This window comes from Homo sapiens, chromosome 4, assembly GCF_000001405.40.
Source record: "Homo sapiens chromosome 4, GRCh38.p14 Primary Assembly".
In the NCBI taxonomy this organism is placed as follows: Eukaryota; Metazoa; Chordata; class Mammalia; order Primates; family Hominidae; genus Homo; species Homo sapiens.
The window spans coordinates 103,100,953-103,114,380 of NC_000004.12; the positions used below are offsets into that span (position 1 = coordinate 103,100,953).

Sequence of the window (13,428 nt, forward strand, 5' to 3'; positions counted from 1 at the left end):
GACTTCTTATGTGAGGACAATAAACTTTAGTGTTTTTCACGTTTTTTGTTACATGGAGCTAAGTGATTTCTAACAGTCACAGGGGATAAGAACAAAGACTGTGGCGTCAGTAAGACTAGAGCAAGTCCCATATCTCTCTCTCACTAGCTAAGTGAGTAAATCACTTAAATCTCTGAACCTCTTATGTTTCTCATCTGTAAAATGAAGGTAAAATAGCACCTACCTCAGGGATGTGGTGAGGAGGAACGACTAAGCCTGTGAATCCATCAGCACAATGTTTGCCACACAGGTGCTTAATACATGTTAGTGATTCTTATGATGAAGACATTGTTGGAGAAATTTAATTATAATGGATGGTAAAAGTTGCGCTTTTTAATGTTCTTTTAAAAACTGGACTTAGTTTCTGCATGTGTCTATATGAGGTCTATGGTAAAATTGTCCCTCCTTGTTCATTGTTTCAGCAACTTCTAATGCTGGCTCTAACAATCTGTAATCACATCTAGCTTTGTTCCTGCTTTACTAATAATGCCCTTTGACTTTTGAGGCTTTTGGAACAGACTTTATGAGAGTTCTCTAATCAAAGCCAACTCCAATGCTTCTTGATGTAGCTTTCTTCAGCATCCCTCTGTAATCTTCAGCAACAATGCTTACTTGATAACAGCCTAAGTCACATGGTATTGCAAATACTTGCTTACCCATTAGTATTCTCAGCAGACTAAATTTCTTCAAGGGTGGGGACTATGTTTTACACCTTTACATTGTGATTAGCTCGTATTAAAAGAGTATTAGTTACTTGTTTTCTTATCTACAATATGAGTTCCACATTGGTAGTGCCTTTCAGTGCCTAAAACAGTAATTGGCAGATAGTAGATGCTCATTAAATATTTGCTGAGTGAATGGCAGTTTCTTAATAAGTTTCCTGAATATAATTCTGCCAGGCTCTCAAGACAATGTTTGTGATAATTAATTTTAGGTGTCAACTTGACTGGATTTACGGATCCCCAGAGAGCTGGTAAGCATTATTTCTGGGACATCTCTGAGTGTTTCTGGAAGAGATCGGCATTGGAATCAGTGAACTGGGTAAGGATCTACTTCACCCAATGTGGGCAGGCACTATCCAATTGGCTGAGGGCCCAGATAAAACAAAAAGGCAGAGAAAAGGTGAATTCTCTCTCTTCCGGAACTGGGACATCCATCTTCTCCTGCCCTTGGATACCTGAACTCCGACCAGATTCTCAGGCCTTCAGACTTGGACTGAGCCACGCTCCTAGTTTCCCTGGCTCTCCAGCTTGCAGACAGCCTATGGTGGGACTTCTCAGCCTCCCTAATTGTGTAAACCAATTCCCCTAATAAACATCCTCTCTCTCTCTCTCTGCATATATATATATATATATTTTTTTTTTTTTCCTCAAGCTTCAGTGGGGTTACATCCCAATAAGCCCATTGTAAATTGAAAACATTGTCAGTTGAAAATGTATTTAATATACCTAATTCACTGAACATAGAGCTTAGCCGAGCCTACTTAAATGTGCTCAGAACACTTGTTAGCCTACAGTTGGATAAAATCATTTAATACAAAGCCTGTTTTATAACAAGGTGTTGACTGACTCATGGGATTTATTGAACAGAGTACACTGAACAGTGTCAGTTGTTTACTCGTGATCCCGTGGCTGACTGAGAGCTGTGTCTTGCCGCCACTGCCCATGATCACAGTAGAGTATTGCTATCTTATGAAGAGATCAGAATTCAAAGTAAAGTTTTCACTGAATGCGTATCGCTCTCACACCATCCCTAAAGTTGAAAAATCTCAAGTTGAACCATGACAAGTTGGTGACCATCTGTGTATATTCTATTGGTTCTGTCTCTCTGGAAAATCCTAAGACAGATTTTGGTAACAGGAGAGGTTCTAGAGGAACAAAATTTTAAGGATGAGTTTCCTGAGTTGGTTTTGGGGTTCCTGGAATTGGCTCTTAGTCTGATTAGATTTGAAAATGCTAAAGGCTCTACTCTTTGAGATGGGGTCACACTCTTGAACAGGTTGGAGTGCAGTGGCACCATCATAGCTGACTGTAGCCTTGAATACCTGGGCTCAGGCCATCCTCCTGCCTCAGCCCTCCAAATTGTTTTTTTTTGGTAGAGATGAGGTCTCAGTATGTAGCCTAGGCTGGTCTCAAACTCCTGGTCTCAAGTGCTCCTCCTGCCTCAGTTTCCCAAAGTGTTGAGATTACAGGGATGAGTCACTGCGCCCAGCCTGGCTCTCCTTTTAATAGTACAGAGAGCACTGATTGTCCAAGAAATGAACTGTTCATAGAGGTATGCAAAATGTCTGCATTGGATACTCCTAATCAACCACTTCTTAGAGGTGAGGAACTTAAGTGACTCTATATATAATACTTTTTTTTTTTTTTCCGAGACAGAGTCTTGCTCTGTCGCCCAGGCTGGAGTGCAGTGGCATGATCTCGGCTCACTGCAACCTCTGCCTCCTGGGTTCAAGCGATTCTTCTGCCTCAGCCTCTCGAATAGCTGGGATTACAGGCACACACCACCATGCCTGGCTAATTTTTGTATTCTAGTAGAGACGGGGTTTCACCATGTTGGCCACGCTGGTCTCAAACTCTTGACCTTGTGATCCGCCTGCCTCAGCCTCCCTAAGTGCTGGGATTACAGGTGTGAGCCACTGTGCCCGGCCCTATAATACTTTCAAATATTTATGGAAAACTAAGAAATATACCAATGTTGGTTGGTTGCTTCTAATATTGTTGGGCAAAATTATTTAAAAAAAAAAAGGATGACTTCAGGGATTCAAATTCATGGCTCAAGCTCCACATAAGTAACCTAAGAGCTTATAGGCGTGCCCTGAAAGAGGATCTTCTCTCCTGTAGACATGAGGCTAAAATTGCTGAAAATCAAACACCAGTCTTCATCATTTGATTGGTGCAATTACAAAAGGCCTCAGTGTGTCTACTGGTAAAATAAGCCACAGTGACTGGGAGAGTGAGATTCTATAAGTTGGGATGGGGACGTGTGGGAAGACCCTGAAGCCAGGAACATTGAGTTTTTTTTTTTTTTTTTTTTTTTCAGTTTCACCCTGTTGGCCAGGTTGGAGTGCAATGGCATGATCTCGGCTCACTACAACGTTGACTTCCAGGGCTCAAGTGATCCTCCCACCTCAGCACCCCCGAGTAGCTGAGACTATGGCCATAAGCCACCATGCCAGGCTAATTTTTGTATTTTTTGTAGAGACGGGGTTTCACTATGTTGCCCAGGCTGGTCACGAACTGCTAGGCTCAAGAGTCCCACACCTCAGCCTCCCAAAGTGCTGGGATTACAGGTGTGAGCCACCATGCCTGGCCAGTTCCTACATTCTGATGAGTTTTTTTTTTTACCAGCTGTAGTGGCCTCTCCAACCTCATTGGGGTTGGTAATGGCCTTTCCACCTTTGTCTGAAGGGTTAACCCTGCATTGCCTGAGGAAATAATAATGGCCTCCCCTGAGGCAGCTGCCAAGCAAGACAATGCTGATTCTCCTCAGGACCTACCCCCACCACCCCTCTATGCTCCTAGACCTATAACTAGACTCAAGTCCCAGCAGATCCCTAATGTGAGGTACAAAGTGTGGCCCATGAGGAGCTGCATCACAATCAAAAGAACCACTTGAGTTTTCTAACTTATATAAGCAGAAATCTGAGAAAAATGTGTGGGGATATTAAGGGTGTGGGATAATGGTGGCAGCAAAAGGGACAGAGCTTATTTGAAGAAATAATGGCCACAAACTTCCCAAATTTGAGGAATAAAATGGACACCCAAATTCAAAAGTTAAGCAATATTCTACTAGGCTGGCTACCTGACAACTAGATTTTTAATGGCTTTAATGTAGTTTTATCAATCAGGTAAACAACCACTACTTTGGGTTACTTTTGTTCAGTGGAGAAGCAGACATAAAGAATCAAACCTGCAGGCATGTTAGTGTTTTGTTTGGATAAGGGTGGAAAGCAGAAGACAGACTCTCAAGGTACAGGTCTGGGGGAAAAGATTTTAGGAAGGGATAGTTTCCCCTTAGTCTTTGTTAATTCCTTTGGTGGTATGTTAAGATACGGAGAAATATCCAATCCACAGACTTTGAAATACTAGATATGATGCAATCAATAATCTCTCCCTTTGAATGAATCTTACCAAAGAGCCGAGAATGACTTGAAATCACTTTACCTCTGTTCTATAACCTAATGCAACTTGTTTTAAGTGGTTTTTCAAAGTCATATGGTATAAAAGTAATATCAAATATCCTCTAAAACCATAGTTCTTAGATTTTTACAGGATCACGGGCCCCTCTAAGAATATGATAAAACAAAGTATAAACCCCAGTATCCCCTCCCCCCAAATAAATCCACACAAAAAAGTTCATAAAAAATTTCAAAAATTTTACAGATTACAAGAAGTCCATCCATATATGCTTTATCTATCTGTGGGGACTCCAGGTTTAGAAAACTTTACTTTGATAAAAACTCTGGTACTGTTTCCTTATGTCTACAATGAAGAGGTAGAATAAATGATCTATAGGTTCCTCCAGGCTGGGAGTGAGGGGCAATGAAAAACAAAGTCTATAATAAACCAACCAATTTAGAGAGTTTGTATAGGGATTGGGATAGGTAGGTTACCAGAAATGTGAGAAAGAACTTCTGTGGTTATTACAGTAAAAGGAATATTAGAACTGGAAAGTTAAGAGGACATAGCCTCTGCTATCCTTTAAGAATTTAAATCCAGATCCAGAAAACTTGTGTATATTTTCATAGCAAAATACTGAGTCAACAAGAGAGACTACCTCACCAAGAAACCATTAACATTATATAGAAGAGCGGTGATTCAGAACTACTAAACATTTATTGAATGTGTAAGGTATTAAAAACATTTACAATTTTGTTAATAAAATGATGTTTTATATTAATGTATGTATTATGCTTTGGAATATGCTAAGTCATGTAGATAACTTTACATTTCTTTCAATAACTTTATTCTTTACAAAATATACAAATAAATAAAACAATTCAACTTTTAAAAGTATTACCATATGCAAGAAGAAGGTATTGCTATCACCATTCTAAATTACCACAATGCATTCATTTCCTGTTCCCTTATCTTTCAACTCTAGTGGCAAAGTAAAGACTGAATTGAAATTAAGCTGCACTACAACATCATTACCAGGGATAGACACATAAACAAAGTCATTTCCAAATAAGGAATGCTGGATCTCCAGAGAAGTGACAAAGAGGAGTCTACTGAGTTTTGCACTCAGGCACATCCTTGCCTGAGGAGGCGTGCCAAGGACCTGGCTGAGAATCCACACTCTCTGCTCCTGCATTTTGCACCTCTGAGAAAGAAAATGAAAACAACATTCATCCTATTACAAAAATACACAAAAACCAAGCACAGCTGGAAGTGGAAAGGAGGTTAAGACAGGAGAGATGTGAAGAATGAAAAATGGCAACGTGATTCACCGTGTTTGGTCATGAAGATGGTGTATTTCACCTCAGAGTTGGAGAAGTTTACTCCCCATTTTGTCCTAAAATGAACTATTAGACAAACCATAGTTAAACTGAGAGGTAATAAAGTTTTATTTGGAATTCTTCAATTTGAAATTCAAAGTGAATCAAACACGGGCTGATTGAGTTTTCTTTTGTCCTGTTTTTCAAAATAAATGGTGTGCTAAACAAATAGTATTTTAGAGAATATTTAATCATCTTTGGAAAGCTTTCTGTGAGCCTTTAAAAAGGACTTTAGCTGCATCTATTTGCTTATAAACAATATTTATTTTACAATTATTATATTTATAAAAGTAAATCTACCATAACTGGTCTTGGCAATTACCTTAGTTTAAGGTAATTTAGATTACCTTTTATAATTAAAAGTAAAAACTCACATTTATTTTTTTAAAGACTGGTATTAATTCAAGCTGGGACTATCTCATTTAATTCTGAATTGGTCAGTTTTTGATTTATGTATTCTTCTAGGCTACTCTTTTATTTATCTAAAAACAGTACCAGAGAGATCCACATATTAAAAAAGGACTCAAACATTTTTATTTGCAGTTTGATGAATTCACATTATGCATATGCCTCTGGCACTAGCAGACAAAATCAAAAGGTGATTACAGCTGGGTGTGGTAGCTAGCATGCACCTGTAGTCCTTGATGCTTAGGAGGATTGCTTGAGCCTAGGAGTTCAAGGCCAGTTTGGGCAACATAGTGAGAGAGTTCCATGCAAGTGTTAGCTAGCCAATAGAAGGTCCTTAAATGTTTGTTAAATACTATTTAATGAAGAGAATATTTCAAACATGTTTTTATTCCAAATGTTTCTGTGCCTACCTATCTCCCTAAGAACACTTTTAGACTGTCAACTTGATCTAATTTTGATGTAGTTGATGAGAATGGATAGATTTTTTCTTAATCACAAAGTAGAGGTTTATAAACTCTGGCAAATAGTGCTCAAGGTTTTAAATGATTTGGCAACTGCCTTTCTTACTGTACAATTTTGTTGCTTTAGATTTCTACAGTTGCATAACAGGGTACCTCTGGTAGGGTAGGCAGACACACTGTCACAAAGGGCTGTGCACAGTAGATGCTATGTGGTGAGAAAGACTACAAGAAATGCCGTGTTACCGTTTCTCCTGCAAGTCCCCCCACTTCTGTGGACAACCTCCATGCAGAGCTGGGGGTGATCCTTGATACCTCCCCACTCCTTTGTTCAATCAGGTGCCTGGTGTTGCTGATTTTACTCCAAAATCTCTCCCGTCGGTCTACTTCTCTCCTTCTCTACTCCAAGTCCACACTACCATCATGTCTTGTTTAGACAACAGTCTAACTCCTGCTCCTATTATTTGCTGGTCACCTTAGAGACGAGGTGATGTTTTCAAAATGTATAACTCATGTTCTCCTGCCATTGCTTAAGATCTTTCAAAGGCTTCCTCTACACAATAAATGAAACAATTCCTTTATATAATTTATAAAAGTCCAGCATTTCTGGCTCTTATTTCTCTCTTTGGCCTCACTGACTTCACCCACACAAGCTTGTACTCACTGTGCTCTGACCACACCATATTTCTTTCAACTCTTCCCCTGGTCATGTTCCCACCTACCCTAACGCTGTTGCTGTTCCATCTGCCTGAGATGTTTTTCCCTCTGCTCTTTATTAAGATAACTCATGTTAACCTTTTAGATCTGATCTGTTTCCTTCCTCAATACTCCTCAAATACTTATTATATTTCTCATAGTCTTTTGTACTTGCACTGCTATAATTTCACTTTTTTTTTTTTTTAATCACTTGATTACTGTCTGTATCTTCCATGAGAATTAAGCTCTATGAAGGCAGGGATCATGTCTGGTTTTGCTTATCAATGTGCCACCAGGATCTAATCCTTAACACATAGTAGGGGCTCAAAACAATTTTATTGACTGAATAAATGAATAAGTAAATGATTCATCTATTATCTGGCTTGGGTAAAGTAAATATAATGCTATTGGATATTTTGGTCCATTGAATTGATAAGACTTTTCAGTAAAAGTTGCTTTTTAGGGTAGTATCTTCATGTCCTTGAGAAAGTTGCTTGTCTCTCTTTGGACGAAACTAAAGGCTTAAAGGGTAGACTAAAGACTTCACTTGGGGTAAAAGTGAATTGCACTTCACTGTGTGGGGTGCCTTGGAGAAATCAACTTTCTTACAGAGTCAGCAAATGAAGCCTGTCATTGTAGCTTACTCAACTAAATCATCTCTTATCTAAACTTGCCCTTTGGGATCACATATTAATGATAAGTTCCAACTGTTACCCTCTGATTTCCAAGTAACCAGTATATTTACTTACCTGGACAAAGGCCTAAACTTGAGTTATCAAAATAGCGAACTGGATGAGGTGATGGTAAAGACTTTGATCGGCTATCAAAAAAACAAGATTTTGGTGATTCCTTTGGCACAGGATCTTGTAAATTCCGTTCCTTGCATTGAGAGGGTGTAATTTGTTTCTTTTTAGAAGCTGTTCCAGTCACTTTAGGAGACTTTGGAGAATTCTCACAAGTTACTTGTTTGTGAGCCTCTCTTTTAAGGGTTCTTTCCTTCCAAGTTTTGACCTCATTGGAAAGATGCTGATTATTGCTTAAATGTGGGGGAAGAAAAGAGAGACTGTAAGACTTCTTGATTCTTAAGATGTATTCACATTTATATTTAAAAATTAAAAATAAATTGTGATGAAATATATATAACATAAAATGTACATTTTATCACATTTACATTTTAATTTCAACCTCATGCTTCCTGTTTTGACTATTTTCAAAGTTCAGAAAACAAAATGGATCTATATAAATTGAATAATATAGTAAGTTTCCATGATCATGGAGTCTTGAAAAGAAAGCTCTAAGTACAACATTAGGTTTTCAAATGAATCAATGATATAATCCAGAGTGGCTTATCTATTGATGCTTTGCCACAATAATTTGACAAATTAGTCTCCTGGATAGATGAATCTTTGATGTACCTTTCTTACTGTAAAATAAATATTACACTGTGCTTTTCTAGTTACAATGCTGCTTCTTACAGGAGATGCCACCAGCATTTATCCAGTTCCTCCGGAGAGAAACCTGGGAAGCAATCCTAGAGACCTCACTCTCTTTTATTTTAAGTCATCCAAGTCTCTTGATACACTCTCATCCTATCTATCAAATTCACTTCCTTGTTTTTATCCCTATTGGGGCCAAGCTAGTCCATGCTAAAATTACTTTTTGTCTGAACTACCATAAACACATTCTAAAATTTGATCCCTCTATAATGCTCTAGCAGCCAAAGATGCTATATGATCTCATCAGGCCACTAGCTTAAAACCCTCCAGTGCAGGTAATCCTGCCATTACATTTAGGATACCACTCCATATTCTTCAAAATGAACTATAAGGGCCCATGTAATCTGAATCTAGTTACCTCTGGCACCTTGTCTTGCACTTTACTCTGTCTCATTCTCTACATTCTGGCCACACTGGATGTCTTTCAGTCCCACCAATTAGTTATTCTTCTTAACTCAAAGCCCGTGAACATGTTCCCCTGGCCTGGAAAACTTATCCTTCTTCCCTCATCTAGCCTAATTCCTACTCATTTTTCATATCTATTCTGATATAGGCATACCTTGGAGATATTGCAGGTTTGTTTCCAGATCACTGAAATAAAGTGAATCGCGGAAATCTTTTGGGTTCCCAGTGTGTATAGTAGAAAGATAAGTGCAATAAAACGAGGTATGCCTGTTTGTTGGCTTCCTGATCAACCAACCCTCCACCCCTAACACCTAGATAACGTTGGATCTCTCTCTTTCATAATATAACCCTTTTATAATGTCCTTTTTGTTTTTGTTTCTTTTTTAATAGCACTCATGGCAGAGTTAGTTATTTGTAAAATTATTTAACGCTTTTTTTTCTACTGTATCATAGTAGAGTGCTTGGGGAAAAGATTCTACTCTTCCACGTGGTAGAAGCCGAATAATTTGTTAGATCTGTTTATAAAGTAAAAAGCCTACAATAATGGACGTAAGGAGTTCCTCTCTAAGTAAAGCCTCACTGGCTTGGGTATATGGACTTGTGGTGTATTTCAGCTGCCCCCTCAAAGGTCTTTGTTTCTTTCCTATTTCTTGCCTTGGTTAAGAATTGGTCAGTTGATAGACAGCAAACATTGGAATAGTGCTACCATATTCTCATTTTTTAAAAAAGATACTTATTACCTGAGCTCTAAAAATTACTTTCCCCATAATGACTGAAGTGTTACCACCTGCAAAAAATACGTGCATATACCATGTCCCTACATATATGTAATAGCCGTAAGCATAATATCCGTATCATGTAAGCAGATCTTACCTTAACAATTCATTCTTTTGTTTTATTAGCTGTTCATTTTGCTGCTTTAACTTAGAAATTTCTTTTTCTAGCCTTATATGTTCACTTTTCAAAATAAGAGCTTTTGTGTTTTGTACAATGCCGCTGCCACCTCCACAAGTTAAGGGTTTATTTGAAGGCTGAGGATCAGTATGTTCTGATATCACTGTGGGAGGAAAATATACAAATAGGTGATAATTTTAATTGTCTCCAAAGTTCAAAATAAAGGAAATACTACCAAGTACAATAAGCCATTATAGAGACCCAAACAGCTCAAGTCTTATTTCCCTGGAAGTCACCCTTGACTTCTGCCTTCTACCTTACTCCCTCTGCTTATTTGACCAACCATTAATTCTATGCCTCTAGAATCCCCCTCAACCAATTCCACTAACATATCCTGATCCTGATCACCAAGCTCTTTCACCCTGACTGCAGCAATAGCAATCCTCTCCACTTACTGCTGTCCTTTATTGATCTATATTTTCTACATCAGTTTTCCCCTGAAGGGCTTGTTACAACACACTGCGTGTGTGGCGGGGAGGTGAGGTAGGGTGGGAGGGCCACCCCGTCATTCAGTGCATTATATGTATTCAATACATATTATTAACTAAATATATGTTACAATAATATTAAAGCACATATTAAATATTCTACACTATGTGTGTAAAGAGACTGTGTTTTGTAAATTGTAGGCAAAGTTGCACAAAATGTGAGATAGTTATGAAGTGGATTAATCCATTAGGTCACTGGGAATTCACAAAAGAGGGATAGTGTGTGTGTTGGGGGTGATTCTTGATGTCTATTTTATTTTGAATTCATCTACACTATGTACCTGAAAGTCATCTACAAATCAAGAATAAATATCCTCAACCTTCTGAAACAAAGAATCCTCACTTCTATTTTTACCCCTTTAAGTTTTCTCGGTAGGTGCTGTGGTTATCCTGTAACAGACACTAGGGAAGTTTAAGCTACAACAGGTACTAGGTAACACCTTAACACCTTTAGCACCATCTATTTTTGGAAACAAGTGGACTATAATACAAGCAAATATCATCTTATGTTTTGCTTAGTATTTGGAATTTTCAATGTGTTTTTACCCACAACTTTCGGTTTGATCTTTATGTACGTGTGTGTGCGTGTGCATGTATATAAATAAGTGTATATGTATATACACTTTTTTAAAAAAGACACTTATTACATGAGCTCTAAAAATTACTTTCCCCATGACTGAAGTGTTACTACCTGCAAAAAATATGTGCATATACCATGTCCATATATATGTGTGAGCATAACTATATATATGTGTGCACATGCATATATATGTGTATACACTTATATGTATCCTGTAACATATAATATACAGAATTCTATATATTCTGTAAATATATAAGTATTATATATAATATATATTGCATATTGAAAATTCCAAATACTAAGCAAAACATAAGATATTTGCTTGTACTATATACTTATAAGTGTATATATATATACACTTATATATAAGTATATATATGTAAGTATATACACATATATACATGTGCACGCACAAATATACACTTACATATATATGTATATACTTATATACTTATACATACATATACTTATATATACATATCTATACATATATACTTATATATACTAAGTATACTTATGTATACATGTATATATACACATATACATATACATATATACACTTATAAGTATATATGTGTATGTATGTATATATACTTATAAATGTATACATACTTATAAGTATATATAAGTCTGTATATATACTTGTAAGTATATATAAGTGGATATATACTTATAAGTATATATAAGTCTGCATATATACTTGTAAGTATATATAAGTGTATATATATACTTATAAGTATATAAGTGTATATATATACTTATAAGTATATAAGTGTATATATATACTTATAAGTATATAAGTGTATATATATACTTATAAGTATATAAGTGTATATATATACTTATAAGTATATAAGTGTATATATATACTTATAAGTATATAAGTGTACATATATACTTATAAGTATATAAGTGTACATATATACTTATAAGTATATAAGTGTACATATATACTTATAAGTATATAAGTGTATATATATACTTATAAGTATATAAGTGTATATATATACTTATAAGTATATAAGTGTATATATATACTTATAAGTATATAAGTGTATATATATACTTATAAGTATATAAGTGTATATATATACTTATAAGTATATAAGTGTATATATAAGTGTATATATATACTTATAAGTATATGTGTATATATACTTATAAGTATATAAGTGTATATATACTTATAAGTATATAAGTGTATATATACTTATAAGTATATAAGTGTATATATATACTTTTAAGTATATGTGTATATATACTTATAAGTATATATAAGTGTATACATATATATGTATATATTAGAAAATCCTTCACAGCAGTTCTGTTTATTCTCCTGTAAAAAAGTATGTATGAGTATATAAGTACATATACTCGTATATATACTTCTATAGACTTATAAGTATAATACTTCTAATTATATAAGTATTTACTATATATACTTATATATTACTTATATATATTACTTACATATTACTTATATATAATATATAACTTATATATTACTTATATATGTTATACTTATATATATTATAATATATATTATATATAATATATAACTTATATATAATATATAATATATAAGTAATATATATTTTATATTACTTATATATTACTCATGTAAGTAATAAAGAAGTAATAGATATATTACTTATATATTATACACTTATACTATATATACTTATATATTTATTATGTATACTTATATATGTATAATAAGTGTATATATACTTATAAGTGTATATATACTTATAATAAGTATATATATAAGCATACATATATGCTTATAAGTTAGAAGGTCAGGTGCTAACCCCACGATTTCATATAGCCATTGAGATCTGCATCTTAGTTCAGTACTTGTTCTACTGCGTAAAGCTATCTCAAGTACTGTTCAAGCATTCTTTCTTTTCAAATGGAACATGACAGACAGAATATGAATAAAGGTAGTTTGAGGAATGCATGTATATTGAGAAATTTGACCAACAGATCTAAAAAGTATCTCAGATAAATTTCAAAGACCTTTGCAAGTAAATATTAACTTGGTATTTTTAGTTTCAAGAACAAACAGAATAGTATTTATTTTTACTGTACACCAATTATAACTTATTAGATGCATACAATTAAAATCTACGAAGACATGTGTTTCGTTTTATTGGGAAGCATAATTCCATGTTGATATAGTATAAGTCATTCCTTTATTGCCTGAAGGTATCTTCACTAATAGGTAAAGATTTGACAATACAAAAGCAGAGTTCGTATTTTTCAAGAATCTATAATGGATAAGCATCTAAGATTACAACAAACGATGTCACAAGATATCTGGAAATATGGTTCCAATAAATTCATTTAAAAATAGATTAGTGGCCAACTTCTGTTTACTCTCGACTGTCACATACTACAT

General features: G+C 35.2%; 1 protein-coding gene across 17 annotated transcripts in view; it reads right to left on the reverse strand.

The window, feature by feature from the left end:
• The window catches only part of CENPE (centromere protein E), a 92,533-nt gene continuing 83,963 nt past the window's right edge, over nt 4,859-13,428 (reverse strand). For all 17 annotated transcript variants that reach the window (XM_047449534.1, XM_047449541.1, XM_047449533.1 and 14 more), the window contains 3 exons: nt 9,876-10,059; nt 7,851-8,137; nt 4,859-5,364 (listed from right to left, as the gene is read on the reverse strand). In XM_047449534.1, coding sequence (XP_047305490.1) covers nt 5,270-5,364; nt 7,851-8,137; nt 9,876-10,059 — 566 coding nt within the window. In that variant the 3' untranslated portion in view covers nt 4,859-5,269. The remainder of the gene's footprint in view (nt 5,365-7,850; nt 8,138-9,875; nt 10,060-13,428) is intronic.